The sequence below is a fragment of the Homo sapiens genome, chromosome 17 (genome assembly GCF_000001405.40).
Source record: "Homo sapiens chromosome 17, GRCh38.p14 Primary Assembly".
In the NCBI taxonomy this organism is placed as follows: domain Eukaryota; kingdom Metazoa; phylum Chordata; class Mammalia; order Primates; family Hominidae; genus Homo; species Homo sapiens.
In genome coordinates, this window is record NC_000017.11 from 8,133,015 (window position 1) to 8,154,125 (window position 21,111).

Genomic DNA, 21,111 nt, shown 5'->3' on the forward strand with positions numbered 1-21,111 from the left:
GTAAGTTGTTGCCATCTCTCATTTCACTCTAAATATTACTTTTTGTACCTAATTTTGTACTTTTTCCCTTTTTTTTTTTCTTTTTCTTTTTTGAGATGAGGGTCTCAATATGTTGCCCAGGGTGGTCTCAAACTCTTGGCCTCAAGCGATCCTCTGGCCTTGGCTTCCCAAAGCGCTGGGATTCTAGGCCTGTGCCACAACACCTGGCCATATTTTTCCTTAAACACTTAAATAGTTGTTTCCCTCCACACCTCCCCCTTCTAAATCATTTAAGCTTCAGACTCCTGGACCTAGGTCTGGGTAATTTTCTGGAGCTCGTTGGTCCAGTGCAGATGTGGCCTATGAAGATGTTCTCCCACTCCTATCCCCAGCGTATCTGTGTCACAGAGTGTCAGTGGGGGTCTCCGTGTGGTTGCACGCCTCTGTGTCAGCGTGGGCCTGACACAGTTTGTGGCTGTGTCCATTTATACCGTGGCCTAATGGCGTGTGTGTGGACGTCTGAGCCTCCAGCCTCTTCCTGGCTGCCCTTTCAACAGTGGGCCACACTGGGGCTTGGGGGAGGGGAGCTCGTGTCCCACGTGCGCTGGGCTTAAGGAACGCAGGGGGTGGGGAAGGAACGGAGTAGCCGGTAGAGCATCCCAGCCTCCCCTCCCTCATTGTGAAGTCTCCCCAGTCCTGATTTCCAAGACTTAGCTCCTCCCTCTTCAGTTCTTCAAAAGGAAGGCTGGTTTCCTGGGAGCCCCTGGGCCCTGGGTAGAGGGAGTTCCTGGAGGGTTGGGTCCTGGGGGATTGGGGGTTGGGAAGTAAGAGGACCAGGACCCTGGGCCAAGGAAAGACCAGGATAGACGCTCTCCAGGCCCGCAAGGCAAACTTAAGGTCTTGCCCCGCTCAGCTTGCCTTGGGTGGCAAAATCAAAGAAAAGAGAAGGGGCAGCACAGACCCAGGCAGAGAAAACAGGGCAGTGAAACCACTTGAGGAACTTAAAGCCCCACAAACACAAAAGGTCTGGATCCCTGAACCTCCTTTATTCTTCAGCACATATTTATAGGGTGCATACTGTGGGCCTCGATCTGTCCTAGGCCCTGGGGATATAGCCCCAAAAGAAACAGACAATGATCTCTGCCCTTATGAGTCATACATTCTTTTAGGGGAAACAGTCAATGTACATTATACAAAGCAAATCATTTGTTAGATGGTGCTATAGAAATAAATTAAGCTTGGGTGGGGTGCAGTGGCTCACGCATGTAATCCCAGCACTTTGGGAGGCCGAGGCTGGCAGATCACCTGAGGGCAGGAGTTCGAGACCAGCCTGGCCAACATAGTGAATCCCCGTCTCTAGTAAAAATACAAAAAGTAGCCGGGCGTGGTGGCGCATGCCTGTAGTCCCAGCTACTCGCGAGGCTAAAGCAGGAGAATCACTGGAACCCGGGAGGCGGAGGTTGCAGTGAGCCAAGTTCTGGCCACTCCACTCTATCCTGAGAGACAGAGCTAGATTTCATCTCAAAAAAAAAAAAAGAAAGAAAAGAAAAGAAAAAAATCAATCAGAGAAGGGGAGTGGAGAGTGAGAATTGTAATTTTAGATGTCATCAGGGACGATCAGCGAAGGATTCATTGAGAAGGCGAAATCTAAGTGATGACTGGGCAGGTTATGGGATAACTGGGGAAGAACATTTCAGGCAGAGGGAACTGCTAGCACAAAAGCCCTGAGGTGGCAATATGTAAGAATATTTATTTATTTATTTATTCATTTTTTGAGACAGGGACTCGCTCTGTTGCCTAGGCTGGAGTGCAGTGGTGCCATCATAGCTCACTGCAGCCTTGAACTGTTGGGCTCAAGTGATCCTCCTCAATCTCCCAAGTAGCTAGGATTATGGGTGTACACCGAAAGGCCTGGCTAATTTTTTTATTTTTTGTAGAGATGGGGATCTCACTACGTTGCCCAGGCTAGTCTAGAACTCCTGGGCTCAATCAGTCCTCCAAAACTCCAGGATTTGCACAGGCATGAGCCACTGCACTTTATTTATTTATATCAGTATTACTTTTGGGTTTTTATTTTATTCATTTATTAGAATCCATCACAATCTTTATTTTAATGCTCAAATTGTCCCAGATTTAGCCAATGGGAGCCCCTTTGGCTGTAGACCCTAGCTGCTGTCTTTTTTGATATACATACCCAATATTCTTTGAGCATTTCTTTACATTCTGGTGCAACAAAATGTTCCAAGATCATCTTGTAATTCTTCAGCCCCAGTCCTGGAATCAGCCTCGTCTCTAAGGAGTCCTGTTTCATTTTAGCACAGAATGGCATTTAGTAACCAAGATCTGGGCATTTAGTATGGGATATCATTGTTTCTAGGCTCACTCAGTGGACAGAGCTAGGAAATATGTGTATGTGTATATGTTGTGTATGTGTATATATTTATTATATTTATTCCTGTATCTGTACACATAAAAACAATGAATTCATATTGATACCTCCATTAGAAGACTTCAAAGAGAAATGACAGAATCCGATTTATGTTTCTTTTCTTGTTTGTTTGTTTATTTCTGAGACGGAGTCTCACTCTGTCGCCCAGGCTGGAGTGCAGTGGCATGATCTCAGCTCACTGCAACCTCCGCCTCCCAGGTTCAAGCGATTCGTCTGCCTCAGCCTCCCGAGTAGCTGGGACTATAGGTGCACGCCACCATGCCCGGCTAATTTTTGTATTTTTGGTAGAGATAGGGTTTCACCATATTGACCAGGCTGGTCATCCACCCGCCTTGGCCTCCCAGGTGCTGGGATTACAGGTGTCAGCCACCGCGCCTGGTCCCTGATTTATGTTTTAAAAGGATCAATCTACCCAATATATTAAGAGTAGAGGCCAGCCAGGAGCGGTGGCTCACGCCTGTAATCCCAGCACTTTGGGGGGCCGAGGCGGGTGGATCAAGAGGTCAAGAGATCAAGACCATCCTGGCCAACATGGCGAAACCCCGTCTCTACTAAAAATACAAAAATTAGCCGGGCATGGTGGTGCGCGCCTATAGTCCCAGCTACTTAGGCAGCTGAGGCAGGAGAATCGCTTGAACCTGGGAGGCAGAGCCATGCAGTGAGCCGAGATCGTGCCACTGCACTCCAGCCTGGGTGACAGAGCCAGACTCCGTCTCAAAAAAAAAAAAAAAAAAAAAAAAAAGAGAGTAGAGGCCAGGCGTGGTGGCTCACACCTGTAATCCCAGCACTTTGGGAGGCTGGGTGGGGGGGTATGGATCACTTGAGGTCAAGAGTTCGAGACCAGCCTGGGCAACATGGTAAAACCCCATTTCTACTAAAAATACAAAATTTAGCTGGGCGTGGTGGTGCACACCTGTAGTCCCAGCTACTTGGGAGGCTGAGGTATGAGAATCACTTGAACTCAGGAGGCTGCAGTGAGCCCAGATCACGCCACTGCACTCCAGTCTTGGAGGCAGAGCAAGACCCTGTTCAAAAAAAAAAAAAAAAAAAGTAGACTCTGGAACTAGCCAGGAAATAACTTAGGGGGTATTGCAATAATCTAGGTGAGAGATGAGGGTGGCTTGGACCATGGTGTAATGGCAAATAGTCAAATGTTAGACTTTTTTCTTTTTTTGTTTGAGACAGGGTCTCATTCCATCACCCAGGCTAGAGTTCAGTGGTGTAATCACTGCTCACTGCAGCCTCAACCTCCCGGGCTCAAGTGATACTCCCTCTTCAGCCTCCCAAATAGCTGGGATAACAAGCATGCTCAGCTAATTTTTTTTTTTTTTTAATCTTCACAGAGACTGGGGTCTTGTTATGTTGCTCAGGCTGGTCCTGAACTCCTGGACGCAAGAGATCCTCCTGCCTTGGCCACCCAAAGCGCTGGGATTACACGTGTGAGCCACCACACCTGACCCTAACATATTGTAAATAGAAATGGCTCATTTGATGTAGAGTGGGAGAGAAAGAGAACAATCAAGGACGACGCTAAGGTTTTTAGTCTAAATAACTGAAGGAATGGAATTTCCATTTATTGAGATGAAAGGATCACAGGTGAAGGAGGTTTGGGGAAGAAGCCTAGGCGTTTGGTTTGCACTTTTTTTTTTTTTTTTTTGAGACGGAGTTTCACTCTTTTTCCCCAGGCTGGAGTGCAATGGCATGATCTCGGCTCACCGCAACCTCCGCCTCCCGGGTTCAAGTGATTCTCCTTCCTCAGCCTCCCGAGTAGCTGGGACTACAGGCATGTGCCACCACGCCCGGCTAAGTTTCTGTTTTTAGTAGAGACGGGGTTTCTCCATGTTGGTTGGGCTAGTCTCGAACTCCCGACCTCAGGTGAGCCGCCCGCCTCGGCCTCCCAAAGTGCTGGGATTACAGGCACGAGACACCGCGCCCGGCCTTGGTTTGCACATTTTAAGTTTGTGATCTGTATTAGCTTTTTCCAAGTGTAGATGATATGTGGGCAATAATACATAAGCATCTGTAACTCAGGGGGGAGTTCTGGAGCTGGAGATGAAAATCTGGGATGTATTAATGTATTACCTGATATTTAAAGCCATGAAACTGGAAATGACCAAGGTAGTGGGTACAGATAGAGAAGAGGTTGGAAAATTGAGCCTTGGGAACAGTCCAACATTTAGAGATCCAGAAGGTGAGGAACAGCAAAGAAGTCTGAGAATAAGCTGCTGATGAAGTAGAAGGAATATCAGAAGGACGTAGTGTCCTAGAAGGCAAGCGAAGAGTGTTTCTAATGGAAGAGTGAGCATCGGTATCAGCTTCCACGAAGTAATGGTCAATAGATTTAGCAATGTGATGATCATTCGGCAACCTTAACAAGGGCAGCTTTGATGGGGGCGGTGGACACCTGATTAGCAAGGGTCCAAAGGAGAGTGGGAAGATGGAATTGGATAACTTGCTCTGTTTGCTGTAGAAGGGAGTAGAGAAATTGAGTGGTAGCTGGACAGGCGTGTGGGGTCAAGATAGCTTTTGTTGTCTTGCTTCTAAATTGGGGGAAATTAGTGTCTGTAGGCTGAAGAGAAAAATCAAGTAGAGAGGGATTTTTTTTTTTTTGAGATGGAGTTTTGCTATTGTTGCCCAGGCTGGAGTGCAATGGCGCGACCTTCGTCTCCCGGATTCAAGAGCTTCTGCTGCCTCAGCCTCCCGAGTAGCTGGGATTACAGGCGTGCGTCAGCCACCACGCCCGGCTAATTTTGTATTTTTAGTAGAGATTGGGGTTTCACTGGTCTCGGACTCCTGACCTCAAGTGATCCACCCGTCAAGCCTCCCAAAGTGTTGAGATTACAGGCGTGAGCCACTACGCCCGGCTGAGAGGGAAATTTTGATGGTATAGGAAAAAGCAGTGTCTTTGAGATGGCCAGAGGGATGGGAAATCTAGTAAAAGTAGGGGTTGGCTTTAGGTGGAAGCATTCTTCTACAATAATGAAGGAAAAGAAGAGTACGTGGTCACCGACTCAATTAGGTAGGTAGGTAGGTAGGTGCGATGTGAATGTTGATGGGGAACTCCGGAATGGTTTATTTTCTCAGTGAATCAGGAAGTAAAAGCTGAGAAGGGATTCGTAGTTTGAGGTGAGGGTAGGAATGAAACAGTCTCATGGGGCAGTATGAGAGTGAATGAATTGGAGGAAAGTAACGATTGCTGAGTAGCACTAAGGAGCCACCCGAGTGTGGTGGCGTTAGGAATTGAAATCCGCAGTAAAAAAGTTTTTGCAGGTCGATAGGACTATGAGAATCGCAAGAGGGCGCTCGCGGGCTGGTCCCTGACGGCCGAGTCTCTGAGATTCTCAGAATAACGCGGGAGATTCTCCAAGGAAAGAACCAGAAAACAAACTGCTTTTTCCTTCTCCAGAGACCGAGATACCTAAATACCAAAACTAGTGACGCTGTGAGCAGGATTCGAACCTGCGCGGGGAGACCCCATTGGATTTCGAGTCCAACGCCTTAACCACTCGGCCATCACAGCCGCGTGCGCTGTCGGCCCTGTGCAACTATAGCTGCCTATCAACACGCCCGCCTCCAGCCGGCTCCGCCCGGCTCCGCCCGGCTCCACCCGCGCCGCCTAGAGACGTCTGCGCTCGTGCGCCTCTGCTCGGTGGCGCAGACCATGCCTTCCCTCCAGCAGACGTCAGCAGCCCCATTGGAGCGGCAGCCTTCCTATTCTCCCTCTCCTCCCTGAGCATAGGATGGAAACAAAACGGGTCCAAATCCGAGCCCTGTCTTCCATACTCTTGAGGACAGACCCTGAGATGCCTACTTCAGGCTACTTCATGAAACCGAAGTGAGAATCTGTAGTTTCCAATACACACTAAAAGTGCAGGGAAACGGAGGTCCAAAGACGGATTGGCATGTAAGAAGAATCTTAGGGAGAGTCTAGAAGAAATGTTTCTTAGAAAGGCCCTTTGAAAGTGGAGAAGTGTACTTGCAGCAATAATATATCACTCCCCGCTAACTCAGGCACCGCTGGGATTCGAACCCAGGATCTCCTGTTTACTAGACAGGCGCTTTAACCAGCTAAGCCACGGCGCCGGCGTAAAACAGGTGTTCCTCAAGATAAATCAACTCTTAGTGGGTGACAGTAAGTGAAAATCAGCAAACTGCCTGCAGTGGTTCCTCAGTGACTCATCCCTTCCTAAGGTGCCTCTTCCCTTTCAGGTTCTGAGCCAAAGGGTTAATGCTTTGCTTCTCCATTCTTCCACACCTTTGGGGCCAACTCAACCATGAGTGAGCACATGACTCCATGTGTCCCTTAGCTACCTAGACTGACCTGCTGAAGGGCCCTCTCTGTGTGGTGACCAAGAAGCCAAGGAAGGCCGGGCGCGGTGGCTCACGCCTGTAATCCCAGCACTTTGGGAGGCCAAGGCGGGCAGATCACCTAAGGTCAGGAGTCCGCGACCAGCCTGACCAAAAATGGTGAAACCCCATCGCTACTAAAAATACAAAATTAGCCGGGCGCGGTGGTGGGCACCTATAATCCCAGCTACTCGGGAGGCTGAGGCAGGAGAATCGCTTGAACCCGGGAGGCAGACGTTGCAGCGAGCCGAGATTGCACCATTGCACTCCAGCTGGGTGACAGAGCGAAATTCCGTCTCAAATAAAAAAAAGGAAGCCAAGGAAGACAAACACCCTCGAATACCTCAGGGCACCACGGAGTTAAGCAGGGTTCCTCTGCCTTGGCCACCCGTGACCCGGGCTGGAGCTTACCCAAGCCCTTGGCCACACGCACCTCTCAGCTCTCCTTCCCAGGGCAAACCCAGCTGAGGCCATGCTAGAGGGGACAGCAGAGTCTGAGCTGGACGTGGACGTAGCGGGCTCAGCAGGGCCCTCACCTGGACAGGATGGGGGAAAAGAGGAATGGGGGTCGTCAGGAGATGGCCCTGTACACCCTCACTACAACCTTCCCAAAAGCAGGGCCACATCTCCCCTTGACATGCTCCCCTCACCCCAACCCCAAACTTCATTCCACAAAGTCCTGGGCGTTTTTATCTTTTTGTATTAAAAAAGTAGTAACAGACACAAATATCAAAAACACAAATGCCATCGGCAGAGGGTACAGCTGAGAACGCCTGGGTCCCACCTGAGGGGCAGCACCAGGGACTCCATGGTCCACCAACCTCCCCCACTCCAGAGCAGCTAGGGGCTGGAACCCCCGGGTCCTGCTTGGGCCTCAGGCTCTCCTCCCATCTGGGGAGGAGGTGGGAGAGAGAGCTGTCTCCCCGCAATAAATAAGTGCAGCCCCAACCCTCAAGAGTCAGATTCAGGCTCAGCTGGAATATGGAGAGGCCACTTCAGCAGCTTGTCAGCAACTTTGTCCAGGGGAGGGAAGGATTCCTCTCCAAAGGTGGGAGGTGACACTCCTCTGGGCTGGGCTGCGGAGTTCTGCTCTCTGCTCCCTAAGAGGCCAGAGGCAGCCCCTGGATCCTAGGCTGGTGATGGGGGTCCGGCCCCCTATGGTGGGAGAAGCTGGGGCAGTTTCCCACTGGTTGGTCTAGCCACATCTGAGTTCTGAGAATTGGGACATAGGAGAAGAAAGCCTCTCATGGACTCCTGGAGATGGTCCCAGAATGGAGTCTAGCTGGTGCAGTTTCCTGCTGTAGGTAAGGCTGGACTGGATGAGCTCCTGCCTTCTTCCTCCTCCTCCATAGCCAAGTCCTGAGAGCTTGAAGCCTTGGCCCCGCCTTGGGCCTCCTCGCAGCCCTCTCCCTCACCACTGCCGCCACCGCTGCTGCCCTGCTCGCCTCCACCCTCTTCCATGGGCTCCAGCCCCAGTCCATCCAGCTCTGAGAAGAGTGGGTCATCAGGGTGACCAGGATCTTGGGTGCTGCTCCCACAGTCCACACAGGCCTTGGTGAGAGAAATGGACATGAGAGAGTCAGACAGGGTTCTCACTGCTAACCTGCCAGCGCAGCTTCCCACCCCCAGCCCACTGTGCTTCCCGAAATGTACTCCCAAGAAGCACCAGTCCACACAGATGCACCTGCGGTCCAACAAGGTTGGACAGTGCCTTGTGCCCTCTACCCAGATGCCGTTACAGGACAGTCACAATGCATATTAGCATAGGATAGGCTGTGAAAAGTTCTGCAAAGACTCACGCGGCTTAATATTCTATAATCCACAGCAAATTTAGTGGAATCAACATTCTTCAGAATTAATGATCCAAGGACATCAAGGAGATCAGCTCTTGGCCTCGATCCCTTGAACTTGAGCTCAATTCTTTTTTCTCCCCCTTGAACTTGAGCTCAATTCTTTTTTCTCCCCCTTGAACTTGAGCTCAATTCTTTTTTCTCCCCGTCCCAGGCTTCTCTCACCATCACATCAAGAGCCCGAGGCAGTTGGCCCTTCCGGACCCAGGAGTGCACAGCACCCAGTTCCCGCCGCTGGTCCTCAGAAAACCGAGGCTGCTGCTTCTGCATGGCTCGGAGCCGCTCCCGATCCTGCTTCAGCACAGAGGTCATGTCCCTGCCCAAGAAGGGGTTCAGAAGGCAGAGGCTGGGATCCAGGACCCGGACCAGGACCCATGAAGCTGGCATCCTTCCTCTACCACAGCTTCCCACCTCATGCTCCTCCCCTAAACTAGTGCTATGCGAGGTCAAGGCTTCCAAGACCAGGAAACCTGCTCTCCTCCTGGGAGGAACTAGTAACAGGGCTCCAAGGAGCAGGAAGAAAGATAGAAACGTTTATCCTATCCAGGGCAGAGCCAGCCCCAGAAAAGAAAACTGCCCCCACTACTACCTCTGAAAGGAAGGCCAAGAAGGCCTCTGAAATGCCTCACCTGGAGGGCACCTGGTAGGTCATCATGACGCGCTGGTCAGCATTGGCCATGAGCAGCCAAATGGGATCCTGGAGCACGTACTTAATCACCTGGTCCCCAGGCTCAGCCCCGCCCCGAGCAGCCCCAGCCTCAGCCTCGGAAGAGTCGATGCTGCCAAAGTATTTGCTTGTGTGGCTGCTCTGGCTGCTGCCTGTGAAGTGGGGGGCAGACCAATGGGAGTCAGGCCGGCTGCATGCCCACTCCTGGGACCTCACAAGGCCTCCCTCAAAGGCCACATGTCCATCCCAGTGGCCTTAGGAAGCTCCGCCAAGACGGGGCCTGGGCTCCCGGCTCCCCAATCACTGCCCTACCCTGGGAGATGCTGGAGGCGGGGTACTCACGAGTGATGCTGGCTGAGGTGCTGCCCCCTTCATGGGAGCCTGAACCAGACCCAGAGCCCAAGCCAGAGCCCAAGGAGCCCGAGGCTGCGGAGCCTGTGCCGGAGCGCGAGTCCTCTTGCAGCAGAAGTTCGAGCAGGTCACTGGAGCCGGAAAGTGCGTCCTGATTGGAGGACTCAGTGACCTCCGCCTGGAGGAGGGGAGGGGGGCAAGGAGGGATGGAGGGGTCAGCACCTAGGCCTCCCTTCAACTGCTCTTACTGGTTGTGGGGAGAGGCACATCCAACCCCAGTGGTCTCTGCTCCCCACTTCGTGACAGTAGGGCCAGGCTGAGAGAGAAGAAAGCTGGCGAAGAGTGGGGATGTGAGGCCAGACCCTTTCCAAGTGACAGATGCTCTCTCAGAAGTTATTGAGATGTCCTCACCACCTGTCAGACAGACAGGACTGTCCCTTCAAAGAGGAGGTAGCCAATTTCTGCCTCATTCAGAAATTCAGCTGGGGACTCCCTCCACCTCCTGGAGGCTGAGACGCCAGCCTGGCAGAGACAGCAGGCAGCACAGGGTGGCAGAGGGGCGGGGCTGGGGTGGGGGCTGGCAGGCAGACGCAGGGGTCAGTGCTCACCAGTCTGGCCTCTGGCTCAGCAGCCTCCGCACTGGGAGGTGGGGGCCCGGCACTGCTCCCAGGGCCTCCTGCAACAGCAGCCCCCTCAGCACGGGGGAGCTCCTCCAGCTGCAGCAGATTGAGCTGGAGTGGAGAGCTGCATCTCGAGTTGAACAGTGGAGAGTCCGGGCGGTGAGGAGGACTCGGGGCGAGGGCGGGCAAGGATGGAGAAGGGGAGTGCGAGGCAGGAGTGGGAGGCCCTTCAGCAGGGGTCTGGAGTGCCCCATAAGGATAGCTGGATGGGGTTGGGAACAGATAGTTAGGGAGCACCAAGGCCACCATTGGGGTCACCAAAGGGGCGGGGAAAGCAGCTGGGGGCACAGATGTGGGAGCAGGGGGAAGAGGCTGGGGGCCTCCTCGAGGAGAGAACACTGGGAGAGGGTAGGGCTGGACAACCGCTGGGAAGGGGGTAGTGGCTGGTGGGGTGGGCCAGGGGGTGGAGGGTGGCACGGGTGAGGGGTGTGAGACATAGCAGGGCGCTTCAGCCCGAGGGTTCTGGTGGTGGCGTGAGCGCTTGGCTTTGGATCGGCAGTGGTGTCGGCGGCTTGGGGGTGCGGGGCCGTGGTGGCAGCCTGTGGGGAGAGACTAGGGTTAGCAAGGACCTCAACCTGGGGTTAGTACCCCTGCTACCCACACTGCCCTGACACGCTGACCAGGGAGAGGACAGGCCAAGGTCCCAGAGAGAGCTTCTCAACCCACACAGAACGGGGGACTCAGGAGGTGGGGCACCTTCAGGGAAGAATCACAGGAGCCAGGGACAAGGGGATTTATTGAGAAAGGAACAAGGCCAGGGAGAGGTTACACGAGGGGTCGAGCTGGGGGTGTGCGGAAGATGGAGGCATGCTGGCAGATGGAGGAAGCAGGGTGAGTCCATGGACACATGGACAGATGGCTCTGGTCCGCCAAACTCCTGTGGGCACTGCCAGCCTAGGCATTCCTCCTGCCCATCGAGGCCGTATTCTGCCTAGCTTGCAATGGAGTGAAGAGTGGGGCTGGAAAGCCCAGTCCTGAGTCCTGCGTCTGCCTGCAGGGGATCTCCCTCAGGCACCTGGAGGGGCTGCCTTCCACCTGCCCTTGAAGCCCAGACCCCACCCAGAGTTGGCCCAGAATCTATGCATGTCTCTTCATCAGTGACAACTGACTCCTAAGTGGGCATACTTCCTGCCCCTGCCCCCAGGCTAGGCCTGAAGTCGCTTACCTGGAGACAGCACCTCTGCCTGCCCATCCCAGTGCCATCCCCCCAGGCTGCCCTCCTCTGGCTGCAGCCCGGAACCCCATCCTAGTGGGGAGAAGCTAGCGAGGGGCCTGTCCCTAGGCAGGGCCTAGTGGTGGAAGCAACACCAGCCTGGGTCCCTGGAGCAGAAACACCTCCCTTAAGACCCACCCCCCAACAATCCAGTCCTAGACTGGGCAGAGGGCAGGCTCCAGGAGGCCCCAGGTGGCTACCTCGCTCGCCAAGGGCTGAGGGAGCTGTGGAAGAGCTGTCGAGTCCACGCAGCCTGCCCAGGTCTCGGAAGCGGCTGAGGAAGGCTTGCTCTTCCTTCTGTGTGTGCAGGGACAGCACGGCCTTGGTCAGCCCCACTGGACGGTAGGCGTCTGGGGCTGGGTCAGGGGCTACTGTGGGGCTGGGGGCTGGGCTGGGGGCTGGGCCTGGGGCTAGGCCAGGCAGGTCCTCCATCATGATGATGTCTGAGGAGAGTGAGATAGGGAAAGGTCATCAGAACCACTTCAGGGGTCAACACATCCATACCACACCCTCCCTGTCTGATAGCCTAGCCAACCCCTGGCAGCTCTGCCCCACAGCCAAGCCTGGTCTCCATGTACGTTTCTTGGTCACCTCTCTGCCAACGGCTGGCCCTGGGTCCTCCTCTCCATGCAAAGCTGGCCCAGAAGAAGAGACGATACTCAGGCCCCTCCAGTGGCCACTCCCTGCCAGGAACTCTACTGGGATGACCCCGTCACAACTCTCATTGGAAGAGAAGCCCACCCCTTGGCCTTCCCTCACACATTTTCTTGTTTCTTTTTTTTTTTTTTTTTGACATGGAGTCTCACTCTTTCTCCCAAGCTGGAGTGCAGTGGTGCGATCTCAGCTCACTGCAACCACCACCCCCTGGGTTCAAGCGATTCTCCTGTCCCAGCCTCCCGAGTAGCTGGGACTACAGGCGCGCGCCACCACGCCCGGCTAATTTTTGCATTTTTAGTAGATACAGGGTTTCACCATGTTGCCCAGGCTGATCTCGAGCTCCTGATCTCAGGTGATCCTCCTACCTCAGCCTCCCAAAATGCTGGGATTACAGGCCTGAGCCACCATGCCCAGCCCCTCATGATTTTCAAGGTCAATATCCAAAGACCCTTCAGGGATGTTCAATTTTCCTTGCCTTCAGACCCTGTGTGGTCAGCACCTCAGGGCAAACCCTCTATCCCAGACTCTGTGTTTCAACTGACAGTAACAATACGAGAAGCAGAACAGGGGAAGGGCAAAGCCGAGAAGCCTGGCAGGGAGGGGAGAGCAAGAAGCAGTAGCCCCAAGCCCCAGGTCAAGGGAGGCCTCCTTCTCTCCATCAGGCCCTAGAGGGGAGGGGAAAGGCAGGAGGGAGCTCTAGCTGGGAGACCGGTGGAGCCCAAGCACTGCCCCCCAATTCCACACCCATACCCGACTCCGGGGGCTTCTTGTCTCCCACATGGACGATGGTGGAGCTGAAGCTACACTGACTGGTGACGGACACCACACTCTCCGCCTTATTGGCCAGGGCGAGCGGGCTCAGGGTGCCTCCCACCACTGGCTCCTTCCGTGGGGTGGCCCCCTCCCCAGACAGCGCTGCTGACGGCGGATCTGTGCAGAGAGATGGTGCCAGTTACCATCCCCACCCCCACTGGGAAGTCAGGAGAGAGGATCCCAGGGAAAAGGGGAAGGGGATGGTGGTAGGGAACAGAGGGAACAGTCTGGAGACCAGGAGGCTGGGGAGGAGAGCAGGGCAGAGCAAGAGGGCCCAGAAGCAGAAGGGAAAAGACACAGGGCCACCAGGCCAGGACGGGGCAGTGGGAGCAGGGTGCATTGGATCTTTACCTTTCTTGGTCCCCACAGAGACTGGACCTGTCCTCTGCCTGTCGTCGTCAGAGGCTGAGGAGGTGGTATAGGAGGAGGAGGAGGCACATTTACGCTTAGTGGTGCTGGGGAGGTTGCAGCTCTCCAGGTACCTGGGGATGGACACAGCACAGGGCATCAGAGCAGGGCTTGGGGTGGGCAGGGTTAGAGCCCGAGGTGGAGAAGATGCCTGGCAGGCCTTACCTGAGGATGCTGTCCAGGCAGTTGATCTGCTGGTAGGAGCAGCTGGAGGCTTCTTTCCTCTCGGCCTCCTCAGGGACCAAGGCTAGTGGGGCCTGGACGGGAGCAGAACCCGCCTCCAGCTCTGGGTCTGGGGATTGGCAGGGAAGGGCCTTGGCCTTGAACGTGCCTGTAGCTGGGGCAAAGAGAGAAAGAGGAAAATAGCCTTCTCAAGCTCACATGGAAAAAAACAGCAAATGGGTTGGGGGTGAAGGTCAGGGGACCCCCCAGGTCTGTCTCTTCACCCACACATCATCATCAACTCACCAGGGAGGCGGGGCCGGGACTGAGGCCGGGCCCGAGACTCAATAAAAAGCTGCTGGCCCTGGTGCTTCACCAGATGCACATCCTTACAGATCTGCTGGAAAGTCACCTGTGGGACACAGCACCACAGTGAGCAGAACCAGGGGGTGTCGCCAGTGTCAGGGGCCAAGGGCACAATAAAACAAGAAGGTACCAGTGGGGAGGCACAGACGCCTTGATGGGAGCAGGACAAGAAGGAAAAGGCAGGAAGGAGAGGGCAAAGGAGGATCGGGCAAGACTCTGGGACTGGCAGTGCTGGTTCCAAGAAGGAGAGGGGAAAGGGCGATTAGAGGGTGAGGTAGGAGCAGGTCACTCACTGGCGCAGGAGGCCCAGGCCCCTCTGCATCACCCCCGTTGCTATCACTGGAGGACCCAGGGCTGTGGAGAGGGCCTGGGGATGTCACGGCGCCGACTCCACAGAGTCCCGTGGGGCTGGGGCTGTGGACGGGCTGCAGCAGGGAGAGGGCAGGTTAGATGGCTTGACCCGGCTTCCCACACCTTTTCTCACCTCCCAGGCTCCCTCTCCGCTACTCTCACCTGCAGCAGCAGCCGGTGGATCTGCTCTGACAGCTCCTGGATATCAGTGTCCAGGGAGGGAGCTGGGCTGGGGGCCGGGGGAGTGAACACGTCCTCATTCAGGGGGGCCCTGTAGAGTGAAGAGTGAATCCAGCCCTGGCCCGGTCCTGTCCCCCACCGCACTGCCCTATCCCCAACGCCAGCTCGGGGGCATGGCCCACTTACGTGCGTACTTTGTGGCGGCCCAACACGAAGGCTACCTTGCGGCTCCAGGGGTGCACAAAGCCAGCCCAGCTGGTGTCCATGGTGACATACTCCCCGTTGCGGGCACAGAAGCGGATAGGGGAGTGGTCAAAGGGCTGGCCCGCCAACTGCAGAACTGATGGAAGTGGGAAAGGAGGAGCGGTCAAAGGGAGGGAGAGCTGAGTAAGAGGGAGGCCATGCCACTAGAGATCCAGGAGACCAAGGCACCAAGAGACACAACCACAAGGGCAGCCACTCAAAAGCCCAGGACAGTGGGAAGGGCGAGCAGGGCGAGAGGAACTCACTCTTCTTGTGGATAGCCAGCATGAGGGGTCGGTCCTCAGGATGCAGGAACAGGAGCACTGGGGCCCCCAGGAGGTCCTGGGGCAGGTAGCCCAGCAGGGGGGCAGCCCTGAACGGGAAGGAGGCATCAGAGTGGCCGTGGCCTCAGCCCTGGCTGCCCTCGTCTCCTCTAGGTCCTATCCTCACCTTTCATCCACATCCTGGAAGAGGCAGCTGGGTGTGTGCCGCGTAGTGAAAATCCTCTTGTCAGGGGGTATCCGGGGAGCTGAGGCACAGAGAGTGTGGTCACTGGGTTTCGTCCAGAATGCCCAACTCCTCAGCCCTCCACTCTGCCTGGGCCCAGGCTGGCTGATGATCTGCCACACAGCTCTGCCCCGGGCACTATGGGCCCAAAGATGGTCTGGGCCAATCCTATGCCCTGTATCAGTAACATGACTGAGAGCAAGCAAGGCATTCTTCTCTGCCCTCCTCTAGCTTGGGCACCTTATTCAACTCTACCTCTAAGAGGAGCTCAAATCCTCATCTTTACAATAGCTTTTCTTGTTCCAAAATTCAAAGGGTGTGGTTCATGCCTCCCAAATTCATGTCTGGCCATGAGGAAATGTCCTTCCTCCCAGCCCCCACCAGGCCAGGGCCCTGACCTGCCCACCTTCGTAACCCGAATGGATGCGCTCTGCAATCAGCAGGCAGCACGGCTGTGCAGGGGCCCCATCTGAGACCCGGATCTTGGTCACATACGGGGTTAGGCGGAATGGCTGGTACCGAGGCCCTGGATCCCGGTCAGGACCTCCTCTAGCAAAGGAGAGAGGAGCATTAGGGACTTTCAACAGAGAGCCACCCACTCCTCCAACAATAAGGTCACAGCAGACAACAGCAAAGACGCTGGGGAGGGGGCAGGAGGAGGCAGAGGTAGGCCGGGCACGGTGGCTCACGCCTTTAATCCCAGCACTTTGGGAGGCCAAGGCAGGCGGATCACCTGAGGTCAGGAGTTCGAGACCAGCCTGGCCAACATGGTGAAACCCCGTCTCTACTGAAAATACAAAAATTAGCTGGGCGTGGTGGCGCATGCCTGTAATCCCAGCTACTTGGGAGGCTGAGGCAGGAGAATCGCTTGAACCTGGGAGGCGGAGGTTGCAGTGAGCCGAGATCGTGCCACCGCAGTCCAGCCTGGGTGACAGAGTGAGACTCCCTTTCAAAAAGCAAAAACAAAAACAAAAACAAAAAAAAAAGGAGGCAGAGGTCTTCTCCAGTTCCCCTCACCTACCTGATACGGCAGAAGACGGACTTCTCCTGGGTAAAGTCCCTGAGGCCTGAACCTGGGACAGACAGGAGAGGAGTGAGCACAGCTTCCTGCCCCTTCCCTAGGCTGCGAAGAATCCACTAAGGGAAAGTCTGGGTTCCCCGGCCCCTCACAGCAGGAATTTCCTGGGACTGCTCATGCCTCCCCACAGCGCTTGGGCACCTCACCTGCTGAGGCCCCTGTGCCCCAGGTGGGCAGGCGAGATGGAGCAGTGGAACCATAGAAGACTCCCACATCCTGGGGAGCCAGGAGCTCAGAGAAGCGGGTACCCCGGAACACGTCCCGCTTGCAACGCAGCAGGACGGCTGCCTGCTCCGAAATGTAGACGATTCGGCCCGTCAGGAAGGAGACAGCCACTGAGAAGGTATCCTGGCAGGAGGGGGAGAGCAAGAGCAGATTCAAGAGCTGTGGGAGAAGGAGTAGGGGTGCGTCGGGATGCAGAGGCCAGGCCGCCGCTGACCTGGTTCTGAAGTGTGTACTCAGACGTGATGTGCTCCAGCTCCTCCAGGGTATAGGTGGACATGTCCATGGAGCAAGGCTCGCCCTCCTCCAGGCTCCACTGCTGGTAGTATTCCTGGTTGGCTGCAGAGTGGAGGCAGTGAGGCATTCAGTAAGGAGGCTGCCTCAACACGGGAGCCCAGGCCCAGGCCATTCCCTCTTGGGACACACCACTTACCCTGCACCTGCTTGACACAGGCCAGTGCGTACTGCAGCGTGGCCAGGGTCCCAGAGCGGCCCTTGCCCCGGCGCTCTGGCGGCAGTCGAAGCTTGAGCTCTCGAAGTGCTGTCATGAGTTCCTTCTGAGTCCTTGCCCGGGCTGACTGTTCACTGCTGCGGGGCCCACAGGGAAGAAAGAGATAAAGACATTAGTCCCAGAGTGTGGCCTGGGCCCCCAGACCTCTCCTCCAGCCTCACCCGACGTACCTGCAGCCACTGGTGGACGGGTTGTCCTGCTCTGAGCTGGCACTCAGGAGGCTGTAGGCAATGGAACTGCTGGGTGGGGATGGGCTCTGAGAGTTTGTGCTAGGAGACAGCAACAGGCCCAGTTACAGGTAGGGCCAGCAGTGCGAGGCCTGTCACCCAGCTCTGCCTGCTCACAAGACCATTCCTAGACCCAACATACACATCCATACACACCTCTTGCTGCTCTCAGTGGTCTCCAGCAGGGCTGAGTCCTTGCCGTTGCCTGAGGAGGAGCTGTGTGAGCTCCGCTGAGATGCGCCTCTAGACTCATGCCCGTTGGACTCATTGCCACTTGAACCATTGCTGTTGGCATCGGTGTCATCGGCCAGGCTGGGGCCTGGGCAAGGCCGGTGCTGTGGGGGCCCAGGGGATGGGACGCCCCCAGGACAAAATGATTCCCCAGGCCTGGGGTCCCCTCCCCCATCAGCCCCTTCTAGGGGGCCACTCATGTCTGGGCCATGGGGAGAACAGAACAGAGAAGGCAGAGAGGCCACCACGGATGCACGAGGGGGCCTGGAGGCTTGGCTGAGGGAGTGAGGTGGAAGATCTAAGTCTCTGAGGGTTGAGAAGTTCGATCACAGCCAGTACCTGGAGAGGGAGACCAGGAAGCAGGGCTTGCAGAAAGCTGGTTTAACTCCAGAGCACCTGCTGGCTTCACTCAGACCTTCCCCCTGCCTGGCCTCCTGCAGGACTGATGGGAGTGGAACCCAGGCCTGGGGCTTCCAATGGGGAGTCAGGATGTCTCCTGTACCCTTAGGGGGACTGCCAGCGGGAGAAGGTTCTCCGGGGCCTTCCTTCACATCCCCTGCCACCATGGCCTGAGCAGTCAATGAGAACCACGGCTGTAGACAAAAACCTGGACACTTCCCATTCCCAAGTTCCCATTAGGTGTCCACTCTGCCTGGGCCTCCAAGGCCTCGGAGCAGGAGGTGAGCTGGTCGCCTCCTATATTTAGGCCTCCAGGCTAATTTTATCCGGGGGCGGTGCCACCCCCGCTGCACATGCGCGCCGACGTGCGCGGCCCCACCACGCGCTTCCGCCGCCGCCACGGTCGCCAGGGAAACCGACGTCAGCTGCTGAGCTCAGCGGTTGCTGGAGGGACCACAGGAGGGCGGGAGGAGCGACCCCTCCCCCATTTCCCGGCGGAAGTGGGGGAACGGCCCACTCTCACACTGGTGGGCGCGGCCGGGGGGGTCACGCATCCCTTACATATCCCCAGTCCCAGGATGGCTCGGTGGCCGTAAGAAGTGGGACGGCCTATTAGGATCCCAGGGTTGGTCCTGGCTTCCCCAGGACGAAGCACAACGGCCACTGCCCTCGGCGCAAAAGCCCCTCAACCTGACTCTCGCCTGGATCCCAGTCATTCTGGTCAAGACAACACAACCTTTCCTTCTTTAGCCCCTGCGCTGCTTCCCCACCACAAGGACCGAAGCCGGCAACCTGCCATCGTCAAGGACCCGAGGATCCTCTCTCTTCAGTCCCCTACTTTTCTGGCCAGACCCCCCCACCAACCCCAAGCCTTGGGCAGAAGACACACAACAGCCAACAGATCTTTCTTCCCCTACTCCCCGTCCAACCACACCCCTACTACTGAGCATTTTCTGAGCGCCAGGGGAAAAGGGAAGGTTGTGGCCAACAGCAGGAACCAGCGCTGGGAACGGGATGTTCTAGTCCGAAGTGGGCTGACATCACAGGCGGCGCAGGGCCAGGGACTGGAGAACAGAGACACGGGGAGCGCTGAAAGCCTAATAGGGTCCTGGTACCGGGGCAAACCTGGGGCCCCTCGAGTAACGAGCAAGAAGACCGGGGCATGCCCGCTGAGAGTCGGCTGTGGGGCCGGGAAAGCTGGGACGGGGAGGTGGGGACAAGCTGGAGGTAAGATGAGTGGGTCAGGAGTGCAGACTCCCGGTGCAAGATTTCGAGGAGGACTTCGGTCCTTGGGGGCAGGGAGAGGGTGGGTAGCGGTAAGGACGACAGTGTGCCCTCTGCCTGGGCCGAAAGTAGCCCATCAGATTGGAAGTGGCAGCGGTCCGGCTCAGGGACGGAGATCGGCCCCAGGATGGCCGCAGAGATGCCTACCTGGTCGCAGGAGTGTCCTCCGCACGCCTGCCCGCCGCCGCTCCAGCCCGCAGCCGAGTGGAAGCTCCACCGGGCGGGCGGGGAGGCGGGTTGCATAATGCCGGGCACTGCCCCCTCATTGGCCTCTTGCCGACGGAGCCGCAGGCCCCGCCCCCGATTGGCTGGGGATCTCTTCCCGGCGCCTGATTGGCTAGTGGTCTCCACTAAGGTCAGGGCTGTGTCACACACACGGGCGCACGTGGACCTGGGTGCTGGTGCTGGGCTGAAGAGCCCCAGACACCGCCCAGCCAATGGGCGCAGGACGCTTGCACATTGAATAATGGAAGGGAGGAGAGAGGGAGATACGCTGCGCCTCTTTAGGGAAAAAGCCCGGCCCGGGGTAGGTGCTCAAGACTTGTCTACTTCCTGAACGCACTAGCCTTGCAGAACACAACATCTTGGCATCTTCGCCTTTCCAAGGGTGAGGAAAAGGAATGGCGCTGCAAGTTAGGCCACGCTGGATGAGATGGGTGGTCCTTGAGAGGAGGGGAGAGACAGAAACCTGCCTGGGCCTCTCCTGGGTTCCTTTCCCAACCTTGTTCCCTCCCAACCTTCGTTCTACATAATGAAGCCCTTTAACCGAAGCACTTCCTCTGACACTTCAAATCCTGGGAGAGGACAGTTAAGGGTCCACGTGTGACCGGTGGGTGAGTGGGTGGAGGAAGGATGCGGACAATGGAAGGGGCAACCAGAGCCAATAGTGGCTGTGAAGGGAAACAATGGCAGGTGCTTCTATGGCCACTCAGAGACAAGGTCTCCGGGCAGCCTACGTGGTGTCTAGTACTTTCCTCCAGAGGACGCAGCCACCCACAGTTAAAGCTGCCCCAAAAGTGGGGGCCAGGAAGCCAGGACTACAGAGGGACCAAGGGGATGGCCCAGAGAAGAGGCCAGCTGGGGCCCTAGACAGAGAAATGTGGGGTGGCAAGGGCTTCATATTTCCACTGCTTGGAAAAGAGAAAGCCAAACTCCAGGGGCCCAGACGGAACGTCATCTGTCTCATTCACTGTAGTCTCCAGAGCCCAGGACAGGACCTGACACATGGCAAGTGATCGATAAACATGATTTTTTTTTTTTTAAACAAGGATAGGTTGGGGAGGTGGGAAAAGAGTGTCAACAGGAGAAAGGGGGCTGGGAATTCTGATTCTCTAAAAGAGATGAGTAGTCCTAGAAAGAGAACAGGGGCACGATTTGCAGGCAATAAAATGTTAGTCTGGGCTCAGGAGAGCTGCAGTTACACAGCCCCCTCCATCCAGGACCGTGATGAGTAGTTCCTCGCAGGGCTCCCTGGAAACGTGGGTAGTAGATGAACAGGCCTCCAAGCAGCTGCTGACATAATCATTGTGGGGGCACTCCCCTCACTGTCACGTGGCCTAAGCTTTCCTGAACAATGAGGGAAGGGTGAAGGGGAGGGCTCTGTGGAAAAGCTGAGACAAGATCGTGTTATAAATTAACCCAGAAAAATCGAAACAGGAAAACAAAAGATTCAGGAGCCTGGAGGCCGGGCGCGGTGGCCTGTAATCCCAGCACTTTGGGAGGCCCAGGCAGGCGGATCACCTGAGGTAGCGAGTTCGAGACCAGCCTGACCAACATGGAGAAACCCCGTCTCTATTAAAAAAAAAAAAAAAGATTCAGGAGCTTGGATTCTCAGTCTCCTCTCCCTGAAAATGATCCTCTCCACCCCAACTCATACTGTGGCTTTGGCCTTATCTCGTTTGCAGATACCTCTTCCCTGGAAACATGGTTTTTCTCC

At 55.9% G+C, this 21,111-nt stretch overlaps 1 protein-coding gene and 3 non-coding genes across 4 annotated transcripts, besides 9 other annotated features; all 4 read right to left on the minus strand.

Moving 5' to 3' along the window:
- Positions 591 to 1,090: an enhancer, noted in NCBI's record as "H3K4me1 hESC enhancer chr17:8036923-8037422 (GRCh37/hg19 assembly coordinates)". NCBI's record gives its function as "activates a minimal SCP1, AML or CMV promoter by ChIP-STARR-seq in primed H9 embryonic stem cells {active_cell/tissue: H9 hESC(primed)}" and the evidence as "EXISTENCE:reporter gene assay evidence [ECO:0000049][PMID:30033119]".
- Positions 5,818 to 5,877: a silencer, noted in NCBI's record as "silent region_8160". NCBI's record gives its function as "represses an Ori minimal core promoter by ATAC-STARR-seq in GM12878 lymphoblastoid cells {active_cell/tissue: GM12878}" and the evidence as "EXISTENCE:reporter gene assay evidence [ECO:0000049][PMID:35858748]".
- Positions 5,867 to 5,948, minus strand: TRS-CGA1-1 (tRNA-Ser (anticodon CGA) 1-1). The gene has a single exon. It is a non-coding gene; the product is annotated as a tRNA-Ser (tRNA).
- Positions 5,898 to 6,067: a silencer, noted in NCBI's record as "silent region_8161". NCBI's record gives its function as "represses an Ori minimal core promoter by ATAC-STARR-seq in GM12878 lymphoblastoid cells {active_cell/tissue: GM12878}" and the evidence as "EXISTENCE:reporter gene assay evidence [ECO:0000049][PMID:35858748]".
- Positions 6,428 to 6,477: a silencer, noted in NCBI's record as "silent region_8162". NCBI's record gives its function as "represses an Ori minimal core promoter by ATAC-STARR-seq in GM12878 lymphoblastoid cells {active_cell/tissue: GM12878}" and the evidence as "EXISTENCE:reporter gene assay evidence [ECO:0000049][PMID:35858748]".
- On the minus strand, positions 6,438 to 6,511 carry TRT-AGT5-1 (tRNA-Thr (anticodon AGT) 5-1). Its single transcript has one exon. It is a non-coding gene; the product is annotated as a tRNA-Thr (tRNA).
- Positions 6,875 to 7,553: an enhancer, noted in NCBI's record as "H3K27ac-H3K4me1 hESC enhancer chr17:8043207-8043885 (GRCh37/hg19 assembly coordinates)". NCBI's record gives its function as "activates a minimal SCP1, AML or CMV promoter by ChIP-STARR-seq in naive H9 embryonic stem cells {active_cell/tissue: H9 hESC(naive)}" and the evidence as "EXISTENCE:reporter gene assay evidence [ECO:0000049][PMID:30033119]".
- Positions 7,458 to 19,390, minus strand: PER1 (period circadian regulator 1). Its single transcript, NM_002616.3, has 23 exons — positions 19,323 to 19,390; positions 17,418 to 17,831; positions 17,205 to 17,303; positions 16,957 to 17,111; positions 16,741 to 16,862; positions 16,448 to 16,649; positions 16,245 to 16,296; positions 15,630 to 15,772; positions 15,167 to 15,245; positions 14,983 to 15,089; positions 14,660 to 14,813; positions 14,456 to 14,564; positions 14,236 to 14,367; positions 13,883 to 13,988; positions 13,580 to 13,751; positions 13,358 to 13,488; positions 12,944 to 13,123; positions 11,737 to 11,979; positions 10,252 to 10,862; positions 9,635 to 9,821; positions 9,255 to 9,444; positions 8,791 to 8,941; positions 7,458 to 8,326 (listed from the first exon to the last, which is right to left on the minus strand). Exons 2-23 carry the CDS (start codon positions 17,690 to 17,692, stop codon positions 8,054 to 8,056), a joined length of 3,873 nt encoding a protein of 1,290 aa, NP_002607.2. The 5' UTR covers positions 17,693 to 17,831; positions 19,323 to 19,390; the 3' UTR covers positions 7,458 to 8,053.
- MIR6883 (microRNA 6883) lies at positions 11,980 to 12,057 on the minus strand. Its single transcript, NR_106943.1, has one exon. It is a non-coding gene; the product is annotated as a microRNA 6883 (primary transcript).
- Positions 16,897 to 17,544: an enhancer, noted in NCBI's record as "H3K4me1 hESC enhancer chr17:8053229-8053876 (GRCh37/hg19 assembly coordinates)". NCBI's record gives its function as "activates a minimal SCP1, AML or CMV promoter by ChIP-STARR-seq in naive and primed H9 embryonic stem cells {active_cell/tissue: H9 hESC(naive and primed)}" and the evidence as "EXISTENCE:reporter gene assay evidence [ECO:0000049][PMID:30033119]".
- Positions 18,014 to 18,123: an enhancer, noted in NCBI's record as "active region_11666". NCBI's record gives its function as "activates an Ori minimal core promoter by ATAC-STARR-seq in GM12878 lymphoblastoid cells {active_cell/tissue: GM12878}" and the evidence as "EXISTENCE:reporter gene assay evidence [ECO:0000049][PMID:35858748]".
- Positions 18,284 to 18,383: a silencer, noted in NCBI's record as "silent region_8163". NCBI's record gives its function as "represses an Ori minimal core promoter by ATAC-STARR-seq in GM12878 lymphoblastoid cells {active_cell/tissue: GM12878}" and the evidence as "EXISTENCE:reporter gene assay evidence [ECO:0000049][PMID:35858748]".
- Positions 19,337 to 19,631: an enhancer, noted in NCBI's record as "tiled region #8148; HepG2 Activating DNase unmatched - State 5:Enh, and K562 Activating DNase unmatched - State 1:Tss". NCBI's record gives its function as "activates a minimal TATA promoter and a strong SV40 promoter by Sharpr-MPRA in HepG2 and K562 cells {active_cell/tissue: HepG2 | K562}" and the evidence as "EXISTENCE:reporter gene assay evidence [ECO:0000049][PMID:27701403]".